Source organism: Homo sapiens, chromosome 15 (assembly GCF_000001405.40).
Source record: "Homo sapiens chromosome 15, GRCh38.p14 Primary Assembly".
Taxonomy (NCBI): domain Eukaryota; kingdom Metazoa; phylum Chordata; class Mammalia; order Primates; family Hominidae; genus Homo; species Homo sapiens.
The window spans coordinates 85,027,488-85,055,323 of NC_000015.10; the positions used below are offsets into that span (position 1 = coordinate 85,027,488).

General features: G+C 39.2%; 1 protein-coding gene across 8 annotated transcripts in view, besides 5 other annotated features; it reads left to right on the plus strand.

Moving 5' to 3' along the window:
- PDE8A (phosphodiesterase 8A) overlaps nucleotides 1-27,836 on the plus strand; it is a 158,676-nt gene that overhangs the window by 47,021 nt on the left and 83,819 nt on the right. Inside the window, exon 1 of one of the 8 annotated variants that reach the window (XM_047432656.1) lies at nucleotides 26,939-26,957. The exons of the other annotated variants lie outside the window; for them this stretch is intronic. The gene's annotated coding sequence lies outside the window, so the exon portion shown is untranslated. Of the gene's footprint in view, nucleotides 1-26,938; nucleotides 26,958-27,836 lie in introns of those variants that run through there. 8 annotated transcript variants of the gene reach the window in all.
- Nucleotides 2,772-2,841: an enhancer, noted in NCBI's record as "active region_9998". NCBI's record gives its function as "activates an Ori minimal core promoter by ATAC-STARR-seq in GM12878 lymphoblastoid cells {active_cell/tissue: GM12878}" and the evidence as "EXISTENCE:reporter gene assay evidence [ECO:0000049][PMID:35858748]".
- Nucleotides 3,965-4,034: an enhancer, noted in NCBI's record as "active region_9999". NCBI's record gives its function as "activates an Ori minimal core promoter by ATAC-STARR-seq in GM12878 lymphoblastoid cells {active_cell/tissue: GM12878}" and the evidence as "EXISTENCE:reporter gene assay evidence [ECO:0000049][PMID:35858748]".
- Nucleotides 9,218-9,277: an enhancer, noted in NCBI's record as "active region_10000". NCBI's record gives its function as "activates an Ori minimal core promoter by ATAC-STARR-seq in GM12878 lymphoblastoid cells {active_cell/tissue: GM12878}" and the evidence as "EXISTENCE:reporter gene assay evidence [ECO:0000049][PMID:35858748]".
- Nucleotides 16,970-17,049: an enhancer, noted in NCBI's record as "active region_10001". NCBI's record gives its function as "activates an Ori minimal core promoter by ATAC-STARR-seq in GM12878 lymphoblastoid cells {active_cell/tissue: GM12878}" and the evidence as "EXISTENCE:reporter gene assay evidence [ECO:0000049][PMID:35858748]".
- Nucleotides 19,698-19,867: an enhancer, noted in NCBI's record as "experimental_41972 CRE fragment used in MPRA reporter constructs". NCBI's record gives its function as "activates a minimal promoter by MPRAs in K562 erythroleukemia cells, with activity observed for both the introgressed and non-introgressed 15:85590501 variant alleles {active_cell/tissue: K562}" and the evidence as "EXISTENCE:reporter gene assay evidence [ECO:0000049][PMID:34662402]".

Genomic DNA, 27,836 nt, shown 5'->3' on the forward strand with positions numbered 1-27,836 from the left:
AGACATGCTATGTGTGTTGCCAAAACAATCTGCCTTCCTCCCCTTGCTGTGACTTACTGCGTTTAGTTATTCCTACCCTTTCAAGGAAATGTGCAAAGATGACTGAGCAATGGCATTTACTGTCATCTTATAAAACACTGCATTGCAAAACAATTTTTGGGAATAGTGCGATTAAATGGTAAATTTTGCTCACGTATGTTAGGAAATTTACACAATTCTGTGCTTTTATTTCTTCTTATTAAAATGAGACATGTTTATTCTAGAAAACTAGAAAATACAGATAACTGTTATTTTACCACGTAGAGGAGGGTATTATTTACCACTGATTTTTTTTTGGTTGCATATCCTTCCTGTCATTTTTCTGATATGTATACATTTTAAAAAACAAATGGGCTGTTGCAGTACACTGTTCTGAAATCTACTTTTTAAACTTAGATGAACACATTCCATGTCAATTAATGTACTTCTATTATAAAAACTTCATAGTGTTACATTGTATAGAGATAGTATTTGAACGCTTAACGTTGCTGGCAACATTTAACTGTGGTAAACGATGCTGTGGTGAACATCTATTAATATATAACTAAATCTTTTTTGTAATCATGATTCCTAAAATTTTTTAAAAATCTTTTTTGAATATATATGTACATGGTACACAATGTTATGATTTTCCTTAGGAGATACCTATGTAATTTGATCTGCTAAATCACAGAGCATGAACCTATTTTATTTATTATTTTATTAGAGACAGAGTCTTGCTCTTATCACTCAGGCTGGAGTGTAGTGGTGTGATTATAGCTCACTGCAGCCTGGAACTCCTGGGCTCAAATGATCCTCCCTCCTAAGCCTCACAAGTAGCTGGGACTACAGGTGTGTGCCGGCACAACTGGCTAATTATTTTATTTTTTGTAGAGACAAGATCTTGCTTTGTTGCCCAGGCTGGTCTTGAGCTCCTGGCCTCAAGTGATCCTCCTTCCTCAGCCTCGCCAAGTGCTGGGATTACAGGTGTGAGCCACCACGCCCGCCCAGCATGGACATTTTGAAAACAAAAAATTTTTGTGCTGCTAAATTGTCCTTCCCAAATGTACCAGTTTATACTCCTACAAAAGTGTTATCTATTCCTTGTATTTCGCAATTTGATAGAGAAAAAAGTCACTTGCTTTCTTAGTTGGGTGATTTATTTGCATTTTAACTTCTTTAGCATTTTACCTCTGAAAATCTTGCCTGTTTTTTAATCCTCATCTCAAATACCTCCCACCCGACCCCTCCCGAGCACCTCCCAGCACAATGAAGACTTCCCATCTGCTCTGTCTTGTGGATTTTTCTTGTCCTTTCCAATCACCTGTGGTTTACTTGAGAGCATTAAGCACTGTGTCTAACTCACTTTTTAATCTTCTTTTGCATGCAGCATATTTCATTGCATATGTTTAAGACTCAGTAAATATTGAGTTAAATTGCAGTCCAACAAAAAGGATTGATGGCAGCACAAAGTAATCTGTCGAGAGAGAGAAATGTAAAGAAAAGAAATGTTCGTCAAGCTGAAGACCATGTGAAGCTACTTTGGAGAGGGCATTTAGTATTTCATTTAGGAATTCTTATTTGCCTGTAGTAAAAAAAGAAAGGCCTCTCCTTTTTTTTGAACCATTTTTATTTATAGCTAATACTTCCATTAGGCAGCCCAGCCCTGAAATTCTTGTTTAATAATAGCCGATGTTTTGTCAATATTCTTATGTTAACCGTAGGTAGTAGGATCCTCTGAAGCCAGGACTATTTTTTTAATGACCCAACTTATTGTTAAAATATATTTTCTCAATAAGTTAGTGTTGGCTACCGTCGGAAACTTACATCTCTTTCCTGTTTTCAATGCCTTTCCCTTCTGCCATTGTATTTGGTTCAGACCCCTTCAGATCTGTTTTGTCCTCACGGGTCTTTTTTTTTTTTTTAATGACTTTATTTAAACTTGGAGCATCAGTCACAAATTTGCAGAGACAATGCTATTTTCTACTGAAGGCTTTTGTCTGAGCTTATTACCTCTCTTATGTTTGCCTTATATCCATCTTCTTCCCAAATATACATTTTACTTCTATTTATTTCTTTTCTACATGAATTTGTATATATGTGGCGCTGAGTGAAATTACAAGAAAATGCAATGGTAACACACAGTTTATAAAACCCTGGAGATAGAAACATTTTCTGGTGCCTGACACTGCTGGACTGGACCCTTTTCTGAAGCTGCACATTCTGCCATTATTCATCTCTGAGTGTTAGATGGTATCAGTTAGGACCCTTCAGCTGCAACTAACAGCATTCAGAACTAAAAAGCAACTTACTTTTCTCACATAAGAAGTCTAGAGTCTGGAAGTCAAGTGTCACTCATATGACAATGTCTAAGGCAGGTGGGAAGGGGGACACTCTTTTAACTGGGAGAAAGAAGTCTCCACCTCTCCCCAGCGGGCTTCCCCTCAGGTCCCACTGACCAGGGGTTCTGTGTGCGTCTGCTCTGTTCTAAAGAGGGTTGCAGAAGGAACATCTAGTGGCTTCCACTGCTGTCAAGGGAAAAATGATGTTGAGAATGTGACCAACAGGTGCTGTTAGAGGCATAATTCTCACTTGCATTGAGCTCCAACCTCCCTTTGGTTACTTCCATAGGTCAGCTCTAGCTGTACTCTAAATTAGAGTCCCACAACCATTTTATTTCTCTTTCTTTTTGTAAATTCCTAGAAGTGTTGAAAACAGAGGGTATGATTCTGCCTGAGTTTTGTCTCCTGCTTGTGGAATATCTTCAGTTCCTGGAACCTGAGGTTGTGTCTTGCCCCCGTAGCCTCCATTGAATCTGGCCCAGTTTGGTATGATCTCCTAGCCACAGCCTCTTTGTCTCCCAGCCACAGTCACTAGTTTCCTTTTCCTGTGAGAAGTGAGAATTAGTCACTCACTTCCAGTGCTAAGCATAATCAGAGTGAGGAATGTAGGAGCAGCTCTAAAAACCTGAGAGCTATTGGTGTCTGGAATTAGTTTTATTGTTTTTACCTGGTATTTGTTCCTGGGCACTTAAGTGCTTGCCTGGCTGCAGCACTGTTAATTGATGAGACCCAACTAGGCCCTCTGTCATCTGACCCTGACCCCTCTGCAGCCTCATCTACTGTGGAATCCTCCATTTCAACCATACTTAGTCATTTACTATTCCTTAACATGCTTGGTGGCTTCACACTTCCATGCCTTTTTGCACATAATATTTTCTCTTTCTAGAATGTTCATGTCCCTCTTCTTATCTGGCAGAGCCCTACTTTTCCTTCAAGATTTAACCTCAGCAGGCATCACTCCACTCCTTTGGAAAACTTTTGTGATTTTTCCCTTGGACAGAGTTAATCAGTTACTTTTCAGTCACACTCTCTACAAGTTCCTGTTGTTAAACATTCACAAAGTGTTGTAATTATCTGTTTATATTTTTATATCCTTCTATATTTAGCTTCTGGAAGATGGGATTTATGTTTTTATTTCTATAACATCAGTACTCAGTATACGTTTAGCGCATAAAAGGTGCTTTGTAAATGTTGAAATGAATAAATGACAATTTTACATCTAAACCTGCTGATTAATACCAACTTCATATCCTTCTTGTAAGAAATCTGTATATATTAGAAGATTATAAATTATAAAATACACAAGCTACTATGTTATCTAAAACTGAATCTGATAGCCCATCACATTTCTTATTTGGCAGACTAGACTGAGGCCTGGAGTGGATAAGTGACTAGCCTAGGCCACATAATGATGAGAGGCAGAGATAAGACTAGACTTCTATGTCTTTGTCTCTCACATAGCTTGTCTTGTAGTTTCTATAACACCATCTTACCAGATAGGTGAGGGAGATTTGGGATTAGCATCATCTGTGTGCCGTCAAAAACCCTGCCATTGCTCTCCTCGCCTGTATGCTTTTGTTCACGTGGACCTTTGGCTCTCTGCTTGCCTGAGTCCTGCCCTGTTGCTCCAGACCTACCCTGATTCTTGCCTTTTCTGACCATCTCAGTCAGAATCACTTAAACCATCTTCTGAGTTTCCATAGCTGTTTATAGCACACGCAGCAATACCATGCAGTGACTGAGTACAGCCCTCAGTCCACACCCCTGCTTCCTAGCTGTGTGACTGACAAGTAGATTAACCTCTCTGTTTCCAAATCTATAATTAGGAATAATAATAACAGTTCCTACTTTATAGAGTTGATGTGTGAGGATTAAGATGTTCTGTGGTACATAGTAAACATCCAAATGTTACATGCTGTTATTGGTGGTGACGGCCTGATTACTATTCATAAATCGCTAGAGGCTGATTACTGGCTGCCTCTAGTTTCAGCTCTTCCTGTGTCTGACTGCTTATTGCTGAATCCAGGGTTGCCCAGTTTTGTAAGGGGTATATCCTAACCTGCAGGTTACCCTCAGACACTTGTTGGAATATTTTTGCGAATAACATTCACTTAGGAGTTTTGTTCCCTGGCACACACCAGTGCTTTGTCATGTAGAGGTTCGCTCATTTGTATAGGTGATGTTACTTTGAAAAAGTTGTCTCTAAGGTCTGCTCAGTGAAAGAACAGGATGTTTTCTCTCTTTACTTCACAGCCATAGCCAGCTTTGAGGTTCAGTGTTTGTATAGCTCTAAGTCTCTGTTAATTAAGGAAATGGACTAGAAAAGACAGTTTAATGAAAACTCACAGACAGTAGACAATTTGCACACATTCCATTGTTTGACACCATAGTAGAAGCTCACCTCTAGATGTAAAGGAGCAGTCTGTAATTCTCTTGACCCTTTTCCTGATTAATAACCTGTAGATATTGTCCATCCATGGTATAAGAGTTGGATAGTTTTGTTTGGATTTTCTCTATCTTGTAAATGAGAAACCAGGGAAAGAAAATACAGTGTATTTATTATACTGGGAACAAAGGTCATGGAAACAGTAACTTTTAAAAAGAACCCTTGGTTACCTAGTTTTTAAAGACCTAGACTTCCTTGTTCTATTTCTAAAAGTCTGTGGAATAAACCCCTCATTTTCTCTGATTTACAAGGAAACTAAAATGTGGAAAATTTGATCTTTAAGGGGCATGACTTCTGGTTTATGGGATTGTTTATTTTAAAGTTTAAACATTTCAGTGTCTTATGATACTCTTAGTTAAAAGGAAGTTCTCTTGAGTATCATATAACTATTAAAATTATAATTTAGATCTGTATTTTCAAGAAAATACTCAGTTTTAAGTGGAAAAATGCATGGGAAAAGGTCAATTTAAATGCATTTTAAAAAATCAAAGAATATGTGCTTATGTTAATAAGGATTACTTTAGGGTAATGAGATTTCGGGTAATCACTTTTTACTTTTTTCCTCTGCAGCCTTTCTATATTGTCTGGATTTTGGAGTGACCATGTGTTACTCCATATTCAAAAAAATTTTTTAAGCCATTTTGTTTATGGAGGAAAAAAGTGCAACTTAAGATTTGAACATGGTAAAGTCAGCCTTTTTCTATCTTCCCCAGGGAAGTTATCCCCAGCAGCTAGGAGAGAAAGAAACAGAAATGAAAACTCCATCTTTGAAGAAATTGGGAGATATCTGAAACCCCAAACCAGAAAATGAGTAGAATAAGTTCTTCAAAGATTGAACCAGGGTATGAGAGGAAGTAGACTGAAGGCACTTGGGACTACAGATCTCAGGAAAAGAGAGAGACATTTTCCAACGTAAGGGACACACCCTGGGATTCAAAACCAAATGCTTCATTTGAAATAGTGGAAATGAGCACACAAGCTGATGGCAGGAGCTTCCCTGCAGTTAGTTTGATTCCAGGATGCAGAAGAGGCTGGATTGAATGAGGACTTAGACAAGTAGTACTTGTAGGGAGAGGTCTGACCTTGTAGCAGGAAGGAGAGACTACACTGTGAACAGCTCCACAGCTGCCTTTTGCTTTTGGTTGATGGGGGAGAGAGGCTCAAGAATACCTTCCCCAACCCTGTGTGCATATATACACACAGGCTTGCAAGTAAAAGAAAGAAGACTTCTACTCTCCTGAATATGGCCCTGGCTCCTCTCCCAAATGAATCTTCAAATAGCTGGTCCAAGCCAGGCGTGGTGGCTCACACTTGTAATCCCAGCACTTTGGGAGACTGAGATGGGCAGATCACTTGAGGTCAGGAGCTCGAGACTAGCCTGGCCAATATGGTGAAACCCCGTCTCTACTAAAAATACAAAAATTAGCTGGGCGTGGTGGCGGGCGCCTGTAATCCCAGCTGTTCGGGAGGCTGAGGCAGGAGAATCGCTTGAACCTGGGAGGCAGAGGTTGCAGTGAGCCAAGATTGTGCCGCTGCACTCCAGCCTGGGCGATAGAGCAAGACGTGGTCTCAAAAAAAGAAAAACAAAAACACAAAAATTCCCTAAAGAAGGAAACAAATAGTGGAGAAAACAAAAGTTTTGTAGTACAAATCAAGAAGTTTCCAGAAATAAGAGAAAGCTTGAATCTACAGTTTGAAAAGACACACTGTGTTCTGGAAAAATTAACATAGAGTGGCCAGCCTTGCAACATCTCCCAGTAGGGTTATTAGATTTTAAATGTAAAGAATCATTCAGGCAGCCAGGCCAAAAGATCAAGTCACTTAGTAAAGGAGAAATTTTGACTCCTCCGTATTATTAACGATCATGGGAGGACACTGGAGCAACAGTGAGAAACTCCGTAAGGAAAGTCAGTGTGACTCAAGGATTTTATATTCAATGAAATTGTTTTTTAAATATAAAAACAACAAATGCATTTTTCTATGTTAGAAATCAAGAAAGAATATTCTCGTGAACGCTTCTTGGAATCTAGTCGAAGATAAACTTCAGTCCACCAAGAGATAACTGGAAAAACTACAGCAAAGTAGATGGCAATGAGTGTTGACCCTCTAACTGTAGGTTAAAACAAATGTGGAGATTGATACAGTAGAACAGAATGTAAAGGTTATATGACCTGACGGTGTGTGGTCATATAACTAACCACCTGTGGGAGGAGAGGGGAAAGAAGATTGTAGGTAAAGTAAGAGTGCTGTTCCCTCATCGTTAATAGCTAAGGTTCAAAGGGTACCATGTAAAGCTGACAATGAACTAATAGAGGTATAGGGTCTATTTACAGCTACAAAGCTAAACAGTAAGAGTTAATATAACTGACTAAAATAGGTTAGCAAAAGAATGGTGCAGGAGAAGAAAATATTTTATTTATTTAGTTTTACTAATTTTAGAGACAGGGTCTCACTATGTTGCCTAGGCTGGTCTTGAACTCCTCCTGGGTTCAAGTGAACCTCTCACCTTGGCTTCCCAAAGTGTTGGGATTACAGGCATGAGCCATGAAACCTGGCCCAGAAATATTTTAATTTCATCATTTTCATGGGGGTTAAATAGATACTATCTAAATAAATAAAGGTTGATAGATATTTATAAATAAGTGACCATTAGACAAAATATCAGTTATCTTAAATATCAAAATACATGCACAAAGGAAAGTAGCCTCTACAAGGGGTAACAGAAACAATGGACAGATACCTGACATACCAATAAATATAAATGGGAGTTGGGGTTACAACAGTCTTGGTCATCAAGAAGTCGGACCTTATATTCCACTAATATGTTTCTCTGAGCAACTCAAAACCTGGTATTTCAGAAGCTTTGGGGTCAGCAGGAGCAGGACCTCACCTCTGGGTATTTCCTTTTTTTTTTTTTTTTTTTTTTTTTTTTGAGACAGTGTTTCCCTCTTGTCACCCAGGCTGGAGTGCAATGGCACAATCTCAGCTCACTGCAACCTCCGCCTACCAGGTTCAACCGATTCTCCTGCCTCAGCCTCCCAAGTAGCTTGGATTACAGGCGCCCGCCACCACGCCCAGCTAATTTTTTGTATTTTTAGTAGAGATGGGGTTTCAACATGTTAGCCAGGCTGGTCTCAAGCTCCTGACCTCAGGTGATCCGCCCACCTCGGCCTCCCTAAGTGCTGGGATTACAGGCGTGAGCCACCGCGCCGGGCCCTGAGTATTAACTTTAAAGTGATTTTCTTTTTCCACTCAGCCAACTATAGTGAAGGTACTTAGTGTTTTGTTTAAGGTGATTAGTTTCACTCCTCTGAAAAAATTAAAAATTCAAAACTAATAAATAAATGAATGAAACTAAAAAAGGAAAGACCAAATTATTATTTATTTTGAATAGTTATGTTGGAGTTTTTGATGGAAGTTCTTTTCTCAAGAGCTATTCTCAAGGACCAGGAAAATATATTTTGTTTTTGGAAGTTCTTGGAATATAAACAGACCAACTTTCTGAAGTGTCATAATATGTGGTCCCCTAATATGTGTATTTAATGTTCTCCTTTGTTTCACCCTCAGAACCAAAGCTGCCTTCATTCCTTGGTTTCATGGAAATAGTGTGCATATGTAACAGACAATAATAGCACACATGGAGATTCTAGTTTAAATGACATCTAGCAGTTGCTAATGCCACCTTTCCAAATTTTCAGCAGATCTGAGGTTGAAACTGACAACACCAAAAAACAGTCCTAGTGGGGCACATATTTAGAAGTTATGGAACTGGATTGAAAAACATATTTTAAAACAGGAATATCACCCTTGGCAATTTGATAGAAAATGGGAAGACTTAACTGCCTTCCTCATGGTCCACTCCTCATTAACCCTGGCAGCCATCCAAATTCCTCTGTTTATGTGGATGCTACTTTTAACAGCAGTCAGGTACTGCATTCCCTGTCTTCTTCCTGCTTCCTCTTGGTACTACTCTATTCTACATCAATTCAAAGACCCTGGCTGCCAGCATATATCTGAGCAGTGAATGTGATGCTGTCTCAGAGGCTCCCATGATTAAAATGGGGGCATAAACAGGAAACACCCCAGTAGTTGACCGTGTTAGAGACATTGAAGGACAGAGTACATACGCCAGGAAGCAGAGCCACTTTATTCCTAAAGCCTAGTGGACTTGAACCTGTATACATCAACCCTTCCCTCCCACCAAACAAAACATTAGTGCTCAGAGAGTAAAGCTATGAGCCCACATACACTTTGGCTATGGGCAGATGCAGGATCCAGGTAGAATGTTGACCTGGGGTCATTCTTAAGGAGTTCCTGCCCAAGATGTTAGCTCATCAGGCTGAGAGGACTCCAGCAGTAAAGGTTGTGGGATCTATACTTTGGTAGAAAAGGAGAAAGGACCAAGAAAAGCCAGCTGAGGCACTGCCTCAGCTGCCCATCTAAAGGAAGTTGCAGCAGGAGGGACACAGTAGAAGAATCTCTAGAGACATCACAAAAATGCTTTTTTAGAGAAAGAGCTTTAAACATCCATCAGGCCCCAAGAATGAGAAGTCGTCTTCTAACAGCACTGGTCAGGGACTTCTCTGACCCTTTCCTGTCCTCCCTGCCTCAGAAACAGCAGCTAGCAGATTGGGGAGGAAGTGAGGGAGATAGAACAGTCCCCACCCCCAGCTTCTTCCCCAGTGGCAGGCTGCCCCTGCAACTGGTCCTGCTATTAGAGAGAGGTCTTTTCTTCAAATGAAGGTTGCAGTGCTCTTAAGATACTGGACTAATTTTTTTTTTTTTTTTGGAGACGGAGTTTCTCTCTTGTCGCCCAGGCTGGAGTGCAATGGCGCAATCTTGGCTCACTGCAACCTCTCCCTCCCGGGTTCAAGGGATTCCCTTGCCTCAGCCTCCCAAGTAGCTGGGATTACAGGTGCCCACGACCACGCCCAGCTAATTTTGTATTTTTAGTAGAGACAGGGTTTCTCTATGTTGGTCACACTGGTCTCAAACTCCCAACCTCAGGTGATCTGCCCGCCTCTGCCTCCCGAAGTGCTGGGATTACAGGCGTGAGCCACAGCACCCAGCCTGATCACTTTCTTTTTGCAAATGTAACCATCCAGATTAAAAAAGAGCATTCCAGGACCCCATGAGATGCCCTTGTATTCCCTTTTGATTACCTCTCACCCCACAAAATATACTATAGATTAGTTTTGCCTGATTTGAACTTTATTTAAATTGATCATTTTTAATTACTGAACTGAGCCTTAATTATAATGTGAAATGAGCAGAAAGATATTTCAAAATGTTTCATGATGGTTCTTTATGGCCAGTATTTTTGTATATCCTGTAGAAATATGTCATTCCCTTTATTTTCAAACCTCATTTGTGAGATTTTAGGGATACGAATGCCTTTTTGGGACTGGTGTGGCTGTGTTCTTCTTATTAATTATTACTGAAGTAAAGAGGAAATGATATCAGCAGATGTGCAGAGCTTTTATTTGCACTGAATACACTATTCATTTAGACAAAAAGATCATTTCTCAATTCAAATCAGAATATTCTAATTTAAGGCTGAAATCAGTTGTGTCATAATCTCTATGGAAACAAAGCTTTCTACTGTGTAGTAGTTGCATAAGTAACTCATTTCCCCTTGTAGATATACAAATTGTAGATGCAAACACTTCTTTTTCCATTTTCTCCCAACAATACTCTTGAAATAGAAGATACTTTAGTCATATTTGTTACGTTTTACAAAATTTAAAATATCTGTTCAAATTTCCTGCTGACATACATTTTAATAAAATTGTTAAAACTTAAAAATTGTTGATGAGCTCACTTTCTTTTGCTAGTTGAATTCAGAAAAAGAAGATTGAGTTATCCTTCTTAGCTCTTGCGTATTAGTGTCATCTAACTCTGCAAGGCTCTCTCCAATTGGGGGGTGTGTGTGTGTGTGTGTGTGTGTGTGTGTGTGTGTGTTTTACTAATCTGCAGGCATTCTTCGTATATTGTGGGTATGAGCTCTTTGTCAGTTTTACGTTTTGCAGATACTTTCTCCAACTTCGTGGCTTACTTTTTCATTCCTTTACATGGGTCTTTTGATGACCCAAAGTTCTTAATTTTGAAATCTAACTTATCAGTCTTTTCCTTTATGATTAGTGCTTTTCGTATCTGGTTAAGAAATCTTTGCCTCAATGAAAGCAAAAATAGAAAAATGAAATTGCATCAAACTAAAAAGCTTCTGTACTCGGCAAAGGAAACAATTAGCAGCATGGAGAGACAAGCTGCAGACTGGGAGAAAAGATTTGCAAATCACACATCAGATAAGGGGCCAATATCCAAAATATATAAGAACCGCAAACTACTAATAACAAGAAAACACGTAACTTAAAAAATGGCCAAAGGACCTGAATAGACATTTCTCAGAAGATATACAGATGGCTAACAGATAAATGGAAAAAAATGCTCAACACCTCTAATCATCAGAGAAATGCAAATTAAACCATAATGAAATATATCACCTCATACCTTTGGATTGGCTGTTATCAAAAAGGTGAAAGATAAGGCTGAGGCCGGTGGCTCACACCTGTAATCCCAGCACTTTGGGAGACTGAGGCAGGCAGATCACCTGAGGTTAGGAGTTTGAGACCAGCCTGACCAACATGGAGAAACCCCGTCTCTACTAAAGATACAAAATTAGCCAGGCGTGGTGGTTCATGCCTGTAATCCTAGCTACTTGGGAGGCTGAGGCAGGAGAATTGCTTGAACTCGGGAGGCAGAGGTTGCAGTGAGCCGAGATTGTGCCATTGCACTCCAGCCTTAGTAACAAGAGCGAAACTCCATCTCAAGAAAAAAAAAAAAAAGAAAAGAGTGGGTACAGTGGCTCATGCCTATAAGCCCATCACTTTGGGAGGCTGAGACGGGAGGATCGCTTGAGCTCAGGAGTTCCAGACCAGCCTGAGCAACCTAGTAAGACCTCATTTCTATAGAACACAAAGTAAAAATTAGCTAGGAATAGTGGCACATGCCTGTAGTCCCAGCTACTTGGGAATCTGAGGTGGGAGGATTGCTTGAGCCCGGGAGGTTGAGACTGCAGTGAGCTGTGATCGCACCACTGTCTCCCAGCCTGGGTGACAGAGTGAGATCTTGTCTAAAAAAAAAAAAAGATGGAAAATAAACGTTGGTGAGGATGTGGAGGAGAGAAGGGAACTTCACACGCTGTTAGTAGTATTGTAAATATATACAGTCACTTTGGAAAACAGTATGGAGGTTCCTAAAAAAAAAACTAAAAATAGACTTAGCATGCCATCTAGCAATCCCACTTCTGAGTGTATATCCAAAGGAATTGAAGTCAGTGTGTTGAAGAGATGTCTGTCTGTACTCCTGTGTTCGTTGCAGTTTTATTCACAACAGCCAAGATGTAGAAACAATCGATGTGCTGATCCACAGACAAATGGATTAAAAAATGCAATATATACATGCAGTGGAATACTATTCAGCCTGTCATTTGTGACAACATGGATAAACTTAGAGGACTTTCTGCTAAGTCAAATAAGCCAGGCACAGAGAGACAAATACCCTATGATTTCACTTATGTGGAATATACAAAAGTTGAACTTAGAAGTAAAGAGTAGAATGATAATTACCAGAGGCTGGAGGGTAGGGGAGTGGTAGATGGGAAAAGAGGATACACTGGTCAGAGGGCACAAAGTTTCATTTAGATAGGAGGAATAAGTTCTGGTGGTTCATTGTATAGCAAGGAGATTGCAGTTAATAATAATGTATATTTCAAAATAGCTAAGAGATAGCATTTTAAATGTTCTCACCATAAAGAAATGATAAATATTTGGGGTGATGGATATGTTAAAGAAAAAAAAGAAAAAGAAGCTGAGTGTGATGGTGTGCGCCTATAGTCCTAGCTACTTGGGAGGCTGAGGCAGGAGGATCACTTGAGCCCAGGAGTTCCAGGCCAGCCTGGGCAATATAGCAAGACCTCTTCTCAACTCCTGACCTCAGGTGATCTGCCCACCTTGGCGCCTCCCAAAGTGCTGGGATTACGGCGTGAGCCACCATGCCCAGCCAAGACCTCTTCTCTAAAAAAAAAAAAAAAAAAAAGAAAAGAAAAGAAAAAACATTTTTGCCTTAAGTCTCCTCTTTTTGTTTTATTTCTGATTATGTACACCCTTTTCCTTTCTGTCTTCTCTAGGCACCTGTTCTAGTGTGTTTAATGTATGTAGTTTTGTTTTTCTGTGTTCATTTAAAGTATATATTGTTATGTGCTTATGTATTTTTTTTTTTTTTTTGAGACGGAGTCTGGGTCTGTCGTCCAGGCAGGAGTGCAGTGGTGCAATCTTGGCTCACTGCAAGCTCTGCCTCCCGGGTTCACGCCATTCTCCTGACTCAGCCTCCTGAGTAGTTGGGACTACAGGCGCCCACCATCATACCCGGCTAATGTTTCTATTTTTAGTAGAGACAGGGTTTCACCGTGTTAGCCAGGATGGTCTCGATCTCCTGACCTTGTGATCCGCCTGCCTTGGCCTCCCAAAATGCTGGGATTACAGGCGTGAACCACCACACCCGGCCTTGCTTATGTATTTTTAATTTATGTAAATGGTATTGTATTGTAGATCTCATTGTCTTTATTTTTTTAATTTGGCATGTTTTTAAGATTCATCATATTATTATCCCCTAGTTAGATATACTGAGAATGCTCGTAACCCCCTGCCACCACACATAACCCTAGACAGACATCTTTTCATATGTCCCCTTACAGATCTTTGTGAATAGGCCCAGGCTCATCACTTCTGGGTTGTAGGGTAATGCAAGTGCAGGCATTTTAGGCCAAACCTCAGTAATTGGTTCCTGAACATCAGATGCTATACATGAAAATGTCAACCAGAAGCAATTTCTTGTTACTTTTAATGGGAAAAAATACGATTCATTACAAGTCAACTCAACCCCAAACCTATTTCCTACAGCATGACTGAAACTTAGTAAAGTAGTAGTCTAGTCTGGTAGGATGTAAAATGCTTAAAACATCATTTTCTGTTATCAGACATTGCTTATTAGCAAGTGTTTGCTTTGAACGCACCAACAAGAACCGTTTGCCTGCTCTCTCGTGACCTGCCATAGGAAGGCCAAGAGCAGCCCCACAGAGGATGGTGCTGGATGTCCTCTGCACCAGCAGCTGTGGAGATGCACATCCTCTTTGACAGTCTGTGCTTTTCAAAATGTTTATGCACTTATGACTACTACGATGTTCTAACAAGTGTATTTGGATTATAATTTGAGACTTTCCGCCCACCATTTTGTTAAAAATGTATTCATTTTGGGGCACATAAATACACATTTTTTTCTTATATAAACACCAGACAACTTCTGGTCAAGATTTTGCCTTTAAACCCTTAGGAAGATGCACCCCTAGGAAGAGACGGTCTCCCTTACAAGAGGTTTAGGTTTCCTAAACCTTCAGCCTGGGCTGTTGCTGCTATTTGCAATGAAGGGGCAGGCGATGATTGTCCAAGGCTGGGGCCTCACCTCCATCCCCATCCTAATGTCCCCCATCCTTGATCTGAAGGCCTTCATCTGCCCCAGGAGTTCTCACATTCTTTGTTGATGTTGTTAGTTCCTTTACTATATACTTACCTCTCGTTCCAGTAGTTTCTCCTCTGAAACCCCAAGTTCCGTTTTCTTTTGAACGTAAGCAAATGACTTCCTTGATTTTTCTGAGATGATTATTTGAAATTTAGAATTAGACATAATTAGTAGTAAAATTCCAAAAAGAAACTTTAAAGAAACCAATTTTTTTTTTTTAATAAAAAATAGTATAGGCCAGTTGCTAGTTGCTGAGATACTTGTATAGCCCTCTTAAAAGAAGACTCAGAGGTTTGTTTTTTGTTTTTTTGTTTTTTGTTTTGAGGGGACAGGGTCTTGTTCTGTCACCCAGGCTGGAGTGCAGTGGTGCAATAATAGCTCACTGCAGCCTCAAACTCCTTGGCTCAATTGATCCTCTCACTTCAGCCTCTCTGGTCTTAGACTACAGGTATGTACCACCGTGCCCAGCTAATTTTTTGTAGAGACAGCATCTCGCTATGGCTGGTCTTGAACTCCTGGGCTCAAGTGATGCTCCTGCCTCAGCCTCTCAAAGTGTTGAGATTACAAGCATGAGCCACCATGCCCAGCCAAGAGATGGTTTTAACAGTACAGCCTCAGGTTGAGGACAGCATTCAGAAGGTCCGATGGTTTAATACAAGAAGGAGGCTGGGGTTAACAATTTACTCTTTGTTGCAGATTTTTTTCAGATAGCTTTCAGTCTCAAAACTCACTTTCTACCCAAAGCTATGACAGAGATAGCATGTTTAGCTTCCCTACCTGGTCAAGGATGCCTTCTTTGTTCTAGAACCAAAGTAGGGGCTTTATGAATGGTTGTGCATCCACTTCCAGTAGTAATGGCTATACATTATGGAGCACTTAACTGTGTGGCGGGTACTGCACAGAGTGCTTCATATCTGTTACTCATTTAATCTTCACAATCACTATTTTCCAAGTGAAGCTTAGCAAAGTGAAGAAACTCACAGTTTTTCAGAAAGGGTCACAGTTCAAACCCCATATCTGTCTAACCTCCAGAATACGGGTTATGGGAACTGTGGGTGATTCTAGATAATTCGATTGTGTGGATTGTCATTCTCATTGTAATCTCCTTAAATCTCATTAAAGCTCATTAGCCAACCCAATAAAACCTAGGCTGGCCTTTGCAGTCAGGATGCTAGTAGTGATCAGGTATGCAGGCAAACAGCTGTAGAACCTCCAGACAAGGCTCTCTGTCTGAATATACAGTGTGTTACAGAAACATGATTGACAAATGTAAATATTCCTGAAATAGATTCATCTGAGAGAGAGGCATGCTGCTAATTTGTTAATCAATTGATTTGGTATCCATATCACCCATGCCTGCTGAATTCAGTTTTTCTTTAGAAGGGAGTTAAATAAATAGCACTGAGTTCTCAACCTTTGGCTCCCTGCTCCCTGGGGCAGCCTGTAGACCCCCCTTTTCATTCTGACAGATGAATAGGCAAGTGATCAGTTTTGTCTTTTGGGAGGGTGGAGGGAAGAGGTAGATTCTAGTCTGGCCTCCATGATTTTATACCTCAGATTGCCACATTGGATTTGAGGATCCTCAGATCTCAGTGACATGTTTGAAGAAGATCTCGGATTGGGTTATCTCTCCTATAGTTGACTATTCTCATTTTTCTATGGGTTAATTCTTACTAGTTTTACTTTCAAAGGTAATTTTAACATTTCGGGAAAACTTACATTTGTCCCCTGTATTTAATACGTTAATACGATATTTAAGAACTAGATCCTACTTTGTACAGTATTTCAAGGTATCATGAAATTAATGGTTTTTTGTTTGTTTGTTTGTTTGTTTGTTTGTTTTTTTGAGGCAGGGTCTTACTCTGTCGCCCAGGCTGGAGTGCAGTCGTGTGATCTTGGCACACTGCAACCTCTGCCTCCCGGGTTCAGGTGATTCTCCTGCCTCAGCCTCCTGAGTAGCTGGGACTACAGGTGCCCACCACCACGCCAAGCTAATTTTTGGTATTTTTAGTAGAGACAGGGTTTCACCATATTGGCCAGGCTGGTCTCGAACTCCTGACCTTGTGATCCACCCACCTTGGCCTCCCAAAGTGCTGGGATTACAGGCGTGAGGCACCACACCCAGCCAGTGTGTTCTGAAAGAAATAGTGCTTTGGAAAAATACAGTTTAAAAAAATGCCTTGTAATATGTATGTGCATTATAGAATTATAATTTCATAGCAAAAGCTTCTTGGAAAATATTTGCTGTAGATATTTAGAATTTATTGGGCATTTACTCATTGTCAGGCATTGTGGTAACTACTTGAAATAGCTTATTTAATCTGGATATCATTTTTTGCCCAACACTACGGGTTTGGGAAAAAAGGATGTGCATGATTTCACCCCAGTATATAACTAGAATTTGCAATCAGTCAGGGTAACATACACAAGGTTCACAGTAAATATTTACTGTTTAAATCGACTGATGGGAAAATCAGGAACAGGTAGGGGGAGGAAAGAGACTATGACAGTGGGGGACAGATAAAGAGTCTGGGAGAAGAACCAGGGAAAGCAGCTGAGAACTTTGCCTCAAGAGTAGACCTTGGTGCCATCTTGTGGGTGGATCTGGAAAGGACCAAGCAGATGCACATCAGTTGCTACTAAGATGCCTTGCAGAGCCCCAAATTTCCATGCCACAATGATAGAAAACTGCAAATCAGATAATCAGAACTCTGGTCTAGGAATCAGTGGATCTTAGTGATGGAATCAGTGTCCTGTCCATCAGCAAGTCCTGATCACTCTCTCCAAAACACATCCTAAATCTGTTTATCTCTGTGGCCGGCCCCAGGCCAAGCCACCATCTTCTCTTGTTTGGACTACTGCAGAAGCTTCCTTATTGGCCTTGCCTCTACTCTCATCCTCCCGTAGTTCATTCTCCATTGGCAGCCAAAGACATCTTTTTTAGAAAGAAGAATCAGATTATGTCACTTCTTTGTATAAAACCTTTAAGCGGCTTTTCATGAAATTTAGAATAAAATTCAAATGTCTTGTCCTGCCTTAGAAAACTCTGCATCGTATGACCCCTGCTTAGCTGTAACTTCATCTCATGACCTTCTTTGTATGGCCCCTGCTTAGCTGTAACCTCATCTCTTGACCTTCTTCCTCTTTGTTTCCTCCAGTGTCCCACCTTATTTCCACTGTAGGTCCTGTGCACTAGCTGTTCCTCTGCCTGGTACTCCTTCCTCCACCTCTTGCATGGTTGGCTACTTCCTGTCATTCAGATCTCACCTCCTGCATTGCTGCCTCAGAGGGGCCTTCCTTGACTCTGATTCAGTTACTCTCCATCACATCTTTCCCTGTTGTTAATCAGAGATATTGTCTGTCTTGCTGTCTATTGAATCCTCAATGCCTAGGAGACCATTTGGCACATAGTGGATGTTCAGTAAAGATCTGTCAGAAGGATAAATGCTGTTTTCCAGTTTCTTGATCTTTTTCCAGCTAGATACAGATTACGGCCAGGTTATTTTAGACTTTTCCTAATAGAGCATGAAAAGATCACAGGAATTAAATTCAGACAGAACTGGGTCCCATTCCTGCAACTACTGCTTACCAACTATTTGACCATACTTCTCTGAGTGTCAGCTTCTTCATCAATAAAATGGAGTTAATGAGCTTACCTTGCTCATAAGGTAAGAACTAAATTGGACTTAAATATGATTGGATCCAAAGTATTTACGTGTTAGATACTTTTTTCTATTAAAACTGACTGGACCATGTTGTTATTTGCATTTTCCTCTCCTGCTACCCAAGGGACAGGATTAGGTTCTTTGTACTCCTAGTATCTAGCACTGCACTTGTCTTACAGTAATAGGTGGTCCACAAGTGTCTGGATTTAGACTCTTCCACACCTAAGAACTGGTATCTCCTGACTCTTTCCAGGCTGTGTCCCTTTGATCACATTATTTCTCTTTGTCCAGAGAGAGAAACAGATGGTCACTGGTTGTACATGGAAAGCCTGAAGGGATAGTATGGTTCAGACCAAAATTGGATTTATGTCTTTACTGCAGTTCCTGGGTTTTGTATACAATTAATGTAAATTGACCCCAGGATAACTTTCTGTTTCTAATAAAAGGATGAAGGAAAAAAAGAGATCGATCATATGATTGTTTTGTAGTTCCTAGGACTTAGGCTCTTCGTAAGATTCTTCTTTCTGTTTCTTTTTTTTTTTTTTTTTTTTAAGACAGAGTCTCGCCCTGTCACCCAGGCTGGAGTACAGTGGCTCTGTCTCAGCTCAGTGCAATCTCTGCCTCCCAGGTTCAATCCCTCCTGAGTAGCTGGGATTACAGGCACCCACCACACCTGGCTAATTTTTGTATTTTTAGTAGAGACAGGGTTTTACTATGTTGGCTAGGCTGGTCTTGAGCTCCTGACCTCAGGTGATCTGCCCGCCTCGGCCTCCCAAAGTGCTGGGATTACAGGCGTGAGGCACCACGCCCAGCCATTCTTTCTGTTTCTTAATGGAATAAAGTACCTATGAAATTACTCTGAAAACTACAAGTCCTGTATTACATACATATATTTATGTAATAAGCTGGTATGAGTATAATTTCTAGATAAATGATTGGTTTAAAAAGATTAGCTGTTGACTGCACATTAATTCCAAAATATTTTTTGAATACCATGTACTAGACACTGTTTTGGGTGTTGGGAATATAGTAATGAATAAAGCAGGTAAATCCCTGTTGTTATAGAACTCTGTATTCCAGTGGGAGAAACAGACAAAAAAGAAGATAGATAATAAAATATGTAGTATACCAAATGGTGATTGGGAGCTAAGAAATAAAAACAAAGCAGGCAAGGGATAGGGAGGGTAGAGGGGAGTAGAAATTTTACAGAGGTTGGAATTATATATCTATTTTCTTTCTCACCCACCCCTAATCAAGATTTGTAACATAATAACTTTGCCTTCTAATACCACATCTAAATGATGTTAGATCAGTTAGGCAAACGAAATCAAAACTTCTAATAATTTGTTTCATATATCTGTAAACCATATTTACAAAAAGTTTTACTTTTCAATATTAAAATGCAAATCAACACCATCATATTGTCTGATATCCTAATATTATAACCTTTTTAAATAATCTTAATACATTCACAAATATTTAAAAGTATAAAAGATTAAGAACGTGTATAATTACTGATATCAGCTATTGAACATACTTTTGTTTCTATATTGCTTAAAAATGTCAGTTGCTTTTAAAGCTGAAAGATAAAATCAAAGCTATGCTATTTAAATTTATTTGAAATGATTATTCCCTTGTAAATATTAATGTGAAAAATAAATTATTATTAAGAGGGCTGTGACCTGAAACCTTAGGTCAGTTTGATTATGATTTCCATACATAAAGAAAGGATGGATACAAGAATTCCAGAAGTTCCAGTCCTCTTTTCTAGAGCAGTCAGGAAGTTGTTTACTCTTTGAGGGCCCACTGCTGACGTCTGCTCACTGAGTAATGTCATCAGATTTCCTGGTGGTGGTTATTTTGGGGGGAGCAGTGGCAAGTAGTTGTCCGGCTGTTAGGAGACTCTGCTCCATAGAGGTCCTGAGAGCCGGATATACCCCGTAGACAGGATGTAAGGTTAAATGCAATCTAGTTAAGTAAATAAAGTAAGCGTTCAGTGGTAAAAAGGAATTGCTGAAACATGAATGTTTTAAAATGATATTGCTAAAATTTTTACGTGGCAAAATTCATAGTCTTAAATCTTTTAAAAGTGAACCCATAGCTGCCTTTATTTCTTAAAATAAATCCAAAGGTGAGTTACTTTTATAAGTTCACATCATAAATTTATGCTGTCCTTTGTCTGTACAAATCAAGTTATTTCACCAGCTTTTGGTGTAGACCACATATTCAGGATTGTTTACCTAGGAGGGATGAGCCTTTTGCCCTGAGCTATCCAGACTTTTATCTTTTCCCTCAGCTTGTGACCAACACTATGTAAATATGTATATACATACTTTTTACTCATGCTGGTCATTAATATTTAAACAATTCATTATTGTCTTTATATTTATTTTCCTTACCGGTTTCCTTAAGTTTGTACTGTTGATTTTCTCAAACTTAATGATTTGAAAGCTTAGTGTACTTATTTTGTGACAAAAAGGTTTTAGACTATAGATTTTGCCTCTCATTATAATTTAGCAGTAGTATCCTGTAAGTCTTACTACATAATATTCACTTTTATTTTCCAAGTTAACTGTAGGCATAGTTTGCATATCTCTCTTTGATTCATTACTTTTGTGAGTTAATATTTTTAAGTTTTCTAAGGAGGCAGGATTTTTTGTTGTCGCTTAAACTTAAGTTTTTAATTCCTAGTTTGCTTCGTTGAAGGATAAAAACTGTACAGTTTTTACTTTAGGAATATATTTTAAGGGTTTTTTTCTGGTAACCTAGTATATCATGTTTTTCTAATATTTATAAATATTTTCTTTCTTTCCATTCAGACTTTATTTTTTATCTATTTGATCCTTCTTAGTAAATTTCATGAGTATTCTGTCAGAGACTGAGACACCAATTCATATAAAGGACCCAGGTGGCTCTCTGACCCTGCTTTATTGTGGCAGTAGCAGCATCCCTCCAGTTTATGCTTTTTCTGCTTTCTCTTACGAAACTGTGCCCCATACTGTAGGACATAAGCAAAATGATTTTCTTTCTCTTCTTCCTGTCATTTTCTTCCTTTCTTCTTCCTGAGCAGTTCCACTGCATTCTCCAAGCAATAGGTCAGTCTCATTCATTTGCTCATTGCTTTAAACTTGTTCATTAAGTGCTGGTGCCACAAACAAAAAACTCATCGTTCAAACTGGTCTCTCAGAGCCTCTTGCTTTCCTTCTTCCTGTACCGTGAGAGTATGATGATTATACAGACCATTTCAAGCACTTGAAAGTTGATTTTAAAAAATAACAAAACAAAGCCGGGCGCGGTGGCTCACGCCTATAATTCCAGTACTTTGGGAGGCCAAGGCAGACAGATCACTTGAGGTCAGGAGTTCGAGACCACCCTGGCCAATATGGCAAAACCCCGTCTCTACTAAAAATAACAAAAATTAGCCAGGCGTGGTGGCTCATGCCTGTAGTCCTGGCTACTCGGGAGGCTGAGGCAGGAGAATTGCTTGAATCTGGGAAGTGGAGGTTGCAGTGAGCTGAGATCGCGCCACTGCACTCTAGCCTGGGCGACAGAGTGAGACTCCATCTCAAAAAATAAAAAATAAAATAAAAAAGAAAATGATTATACAGACCAGATGTCTCCTTTTTTCCTGATTTTAAAAAATATGGTAAAATACACATAACGTAAAATATACCATCTTAACCAGTTTTAAGTGTACGGTTGAATGGTATTAAATACATTCATAATGTTGTGCAACTGTGATCACCATCTATCTCCAGAACTCTTTTCATTTTGTAAAACTAAAACAATATATCAATTAAACAAGAGCTTCCCCATTCTTCCCTTCCCCTTGTCCCTAGCAAACACATTCTGCTTTCTCTCTATATATTTTGACTACTCCAAGTACCTCATGTAAGTGGAATCATATAGAATTTGTCTTTTTGTGACTGGCTTATTTCACTTAGCATAATGTTCTTACAGTTCATCTGTTCCATAGCATATATGTCAGAATTTCCTTTTTATGGCTGAATAATATTCCATTTTATGCATATACCACATTTTAAAATACATTTATTCTTTATTTTTTAAAGGAAGAAATAGGATCTCACTGTGTTGAGCTCACTCCCAGGCCCGAGTGATTCTCCTGCCTTAGCCTCCCAAGTACCTGGGACTGCAGGCACACGCCACCACTCCTGGCTTTGTTTATTTGTTCATCTGTCATTAGACACTTGGGCTGTTTTCATGTTTTAGAAATTATGAATAATGCTGTTATGAACATGTGCATACAGATATCTGTCTGAATCACTGCTTTTTATTCTTTTGAATATATACCCAAAAGGGGATTGTTGGATCATATGTTAATTCTATTTTTTTAATTTTTTGAGGAATTGCCATTCTGTTTTCTGCAGCAGCTATACCATTTAATATTTCCATCAACAGGGCACAGAGGTTCCAGTTTTTCCATGTTCTCATCAGCACTTGTTATTTTCTGGTAGTAGTGTGAGGTGGTGTCTCATTGTGGTTTTGATTTTCATTTCCCTACTGGTTATTGATATTGAGCATCTTTTCATGTGCTTATTGGCCCTTTCTTTTATTAATATATCTTCTTTGGAGAAGAATGTGTATGTTCAAGTCCTTTGCCCATTTTTGAATTGGGTTGTTGTTGGATTATAGGGGTTCTCTATATATTGTAGATATTACTCTCTTATCAGATATATGATTGGCAATTACTTTTTCCAGTTCTGTGGATTGCATTTTTACTCTGTTGATGTTGTCTTTTTATGCACAAAATTTTAAAATTTTGATGAAGTTTAATTTGTCTCTTTTTTCTTTTGCTGCCTGTGCCATTGATATCATACCCAAAAAAATCATTGCCAAGTCTAGTGTTGTGAAGATTTTGCCCTATATTCTCTTTTAGGAATTCTGTGTATTAGGTCTTACATTTAGGTCTTCAATCCATTTTGAATAAATTTTTTTATATGGTGTTAGATAAGGGTCCAACTTCATTCTTTGGATGTGGTTATCCAGTTTTCCCAGCACCATTTGTTGAAAACACTCTCCTTTCACCATTGAATGTTCTTGGCTCCCTTGTTAAAAATTATTTGACCCTATACACAAGGGTTTATTTCTGGGCCCTTTATTCTAGTTCGTTGGTCTGTATGTCTGTCTTTATGCTAGTACCACATTATTTTGATCACTGTAGCTTTGTAGTAAGTCACAAAATCAGGAAGTGTGAGTTCTTCAGTTATGTTCTTTTCAGGATTGTTTTGGCTATTCGAGATCCCTTGAGATTCCATATGAATTTTAGAATGGGTTTTTCTGTTTCTTCAAAAAACATATTTGGGATTTTGGTAAGGATTGCATTGAATCTATAGATTGCTCTGAGTAGTATTGACATCTTAACAATATTAAGTATTGTAATTTGTGAATGTGGGATATGTTTCCATTTATTAAATCTTTTTAATTTTTCAGCAATATTTTGTAGTTTCACTTGTACAAATCTTTCACCTCCTTGGTTAAATCAATTCTTAAGTGCCTTATTCTTTTTGATGCTATTGTAATTGGAATTGTTTTTTGTAATTTCCTTTTCAGATTGGTCATTGTTAGTGTATAGAAATGCAGCTTGTTTGGTGTGTTGCCTTTGTGTCCTGATACTTTGCTGACTTTATTAGTTCTAACAGGCTTTTGTGTATGTGTGTGTGGAATCTTTAGGGTTTTCTTACCTATAAGATCATACAAATGAATAAAGATAATTTTACTTCTTATTTTCTATTTCGACTGTCTTTTCTTTTTCTTACCTAATTGCTCCGGCTAGGACTTTCTATGTTGAATAGAAGAAGTAGGCATCCTTGCTTTGTTCCTGATCTTAGAGGAAAAGTCCTTTACCATTCATTATGATGTTTGCTGTGGGTTTTGTTCATACATGGCTTTTTAAAAAATTTGTTTAAAAAAATTTTTTTTCTTCAATTTTTAAGTCCCGGGGTACTTAGGGATGTGCAGGTTTGTTACATAGGTAAATGTGTGCCATGGTGTTTTGCTGCACAGATCAACCCATCACCCAGGTATTAAGCCCAGCACCTATTAGCTATTCTTCCTGATGCTGTCCCTCCCTCCGCCTGCCACAGGCCTCAGTGTGTGTTGTTCCCCCCACATGTCCATGTGTTCTCATCATTCAGCTCCTGCTTAGAGAACACACAGTGTTTGGTTTTCTGTGCCTGTTAGTTTGCTGAGGATAATGCTTCCAGCTCCATCCGTGTTTGTGCAAAGGACGTGATCGTTTTCCTTTTTATGGCTGCACATACATGGCTTTTTAAAATTATTATTATACTTTAAGTTCTAGGGTACATGTGCACAATGTGCAGGTTTGTTACATATGTATACATGTGCCGTGCTGGTGTGCTGCACCCGTTAACTCATCATTTACATTAGATATATCTCCTAATGCTATCCCCTCCCCCCTCCCCACACCCCACAGCAGGCCCCGGTGTGTGATGTTCCTCACCCTGTGTCCAAGTGTTCTCATTGTTCAATTCCCACCTATGAGTGAGAACATGCAGTGTTTGGTTTTCTGTCCTTGCAATAGTTTGCTCAGAATGATGGTTTCCAGCTTCATCCATGTCCCTACAAAGGACATGAACTCATCCTTTTTTATGGCTGCATGGCATTCCATGGTGTATATGTACCACATTTGCTTAATCCAGTCTATCATTGATGGGCATTTGCGTTGGTTCCAAGTCTTTGCTATTGTGAATAGCGCCGCAATAAACATATGTGTGCATGTGTCTTTATAGCAGCATGATTTATAATCCTTTGGGTATATACCCAGTAATGGGAGGGCTGGGTCAAATGGTATTTCTAGTTCTAGATCCTTGAGGAATTGGCACACTGTCTTCCACAGTGGTTGAACTAGTTTACAGTCCCACCAACAGTGTAAAAGTGTTCCTATTTCTCCACATCCTCTCCAGCGCCTGTTGTTTCCTGACTTTTTAATGATCGCCATTGTAACTGGTGTGAGATGGTATCTCATTGTGGTTTTGATTTGCATTTCTCTGACGGCCAGTGATGATGAGCATTTTTTCATGTGTCTGTTGGCTGCATAAATGTCTTCTTTTGAGAAGTGTCTGTTCATATCCTTTGCCCACTTGTTGATAGGGTTGTTTGATTTTTTCTTGTAAATTTGTTTAAGTTCTTTGTAGATTCTGGATATTAGCCCTTTGTCAGATGGGTAGATTGTAAAAATTTTCTCCCATTTTGTAGGTTGCCTGTTCACTCTGATGGTAGTTTCTTTTGCTGTGCAGAAGCTCTTTAGTTTAATTAGATCCCATTTGTCAATTTTGGCTTTTGTTGCCATTGCTTTTGGTATTTTAGTCATGAAGTCCTTGCCCATGCCTATGTCCCGAATGATATTGCCTAGGTTTTCTTCCTGGGGTTTTTATGGTTTTAGGTCTAACATTTAAGTCTTTAATCCATCTTGAATTTTTGCGTAAGGTGTAAGGAAGTGATCCAGTTTCAGCTTTCTACATATGGCTAGCCAGTTTTCCCAGCACTATTTATTAAATAGGGAATCCTTTCCCCATTTCTTGTTTTTGTCAGGTTTGTCAAAGATCAGATGGTTGTAGATGTATGGTATTATTTCTGAGGGCTCTGTTCTGTTCCATTGGTCTATATCTCTGTTTTGGTACCAGTACCATGCTGTTTTGGTTACTGTAGCCTTGCAGTATAGTTTGAAGTCAGGTAGCGTGATGCCTCCAACTTTGTTCTTTTGGCTTAGGATTGTCTTGGCAATGCAGGCTCTTTTATGGTTCCATATGAACTTTAAAGTAGTCTTTTCCAATTCTGTGAAGAAAGTCATTGGTAGCTTGATGGAGATGGCATTTAATCTATAAGTTGCCTTGGGCAGTGTGGCCATTTTCACGATATTGATTCTTCCTATCTGTGAGCATGGAATGTTCTTCCATTTGTTTGTGTCCTCTTTTATTTTGTTGAGCAGTGGTTTGTAGTTCTCCTTGAAGAGGTCCTTCACATCCCTTGTAAGTTGGATTCCTAGGTATTCTATTCTCTTGGAAGCAATTGTGAATGGGAGTTCACTCATGATTTGGCTGTCTGTCTGTTATTGGTGTATAGGAATGCTTGTGATTTTTGCACATTGATTTTGTATCCTGAGACTTTGCTGAAGTTGCTTATCAGCTTAAGGAGATTTTGGGCTGAGACAATGGGGTTTTCTAAATATACAATCATGTCATCTGCAAACAGGGACAATTTGACTTCCTCTTTTCCTAATTGAATACCCTCTATTTCTTTCTCTTGCCTGATTGCCCTGGCCAGAACTTCCAACACTATGTTGAATAGGAGTGGTGAGAGAGGGCATCCCTGTCTTGTGCCAGTTTTCAAAGGGAATGCTTCCAGTTTTTGCCCATTCAGTATGATATTGGCTGTGGGTTTGTCATAAATAGCCCTTATTATTTTGAGATATGTCCCATCAATACCTAGTTTATCGAGAGTTTTTAGCATGAAGGGCTGTTGAATTTTGTCAAAGGCCTTTTCTGCATCTATTGAGATAATCATGTGGTTTTTGTCTTTGGTTCTGTTTATATGCTGGATTACGTTTATTGGTTTTTGTATGTTGAACCAGTCTTGCATCCCAGAGATGAAGCCAACTTGATCATGGTAGATAAGCTTTTTGATGTGCTGCTGGATTCAGTTTGCCAGTATTTTATTCAGGATTTTTGCATCGATGTTCATCAGGGATATTGGTCTAAAATTCTCTTTTTTTTGTTGTGTCTCTGCCAGGCTTTGGTATCAGGATGATGCTGGCCTCATAAAATGAGTTATGGAGGATTCCCTCTTTTTCTATTGATCGGAATAGTTTCAGAAGGAATGGTACCAGCTCCTCTTTGTACGTCTGGTAGAATTCAGCTGTGAATCCATCAGGTACGGGACTTTTTTTGGTTGGTAGGCTATTATTGCCTCAACTTCAGAGCCTGTTATTGGTCTATTCAGGGATTCAGCTTCTTCCTGGTTTAACCTTTGGAGGGTGTATGTGTCCAGGAATTCATCCATTTCTTCTAGATTTTCTAGTTTATTTGTGTAGAGGTGTTTATAGTATTCTCTGACGGTAGTTTGTATTTCTGTGGGATCGGTGGTTATATTCCCTTCATCATTTTCTATTGTGTCTATTTGATTCTTCTCTCTTCTTTGTTAGTCTTGCTAGCGGTCTGTCGATTTTGTTGATCTTTTCAAACAACCAGCTCCTGGATTCATTGATTTTTTGAAGAGTTTTTTGTGTCGCTATCTCCTTCAGTTCTGCTCTGATCTTAGTTATTTCTTGCCTTCTGCTAGCTTTTGAATGTGTTTGCTCTTGCTTCTCTAATTCTTCTATTTGTGATGTTAGGGTGTCAGTTTTAGATCTTTTCCTGCTTTCTCTTGTGGGCATTTACTGCTATAAATTTCCCTCTACACACTGCTTTAAATGTGTCCCAGAGATTCTGGTATGTTGTGTCTTTGTTCTCGTTGGTTTCAAAGAACCTCTTTATTTCTGCCTTCATTTCGTTATGTATCCAGTAGTCATTCGGGAGCAGGTTGTTTAGTTTCCATGTAGTTGGGTGGTTTTGAGTGAGTTTCTTAATCCTGAGTTCTAGTTTGACTGCACTGTGGTCTGAGAGACAGTTTGTTATAATTTCTGTTCTTTTACATTTGCTGAGGAGTGCTTTACTTCCAACTGTGGTCAATTTTGGAATAAGTGTGATGTGGTGGTGAGAAGAATGTATATTTTGTTGATTTGGGGTGGAGAGTTCTGTAGATGTCTATTAG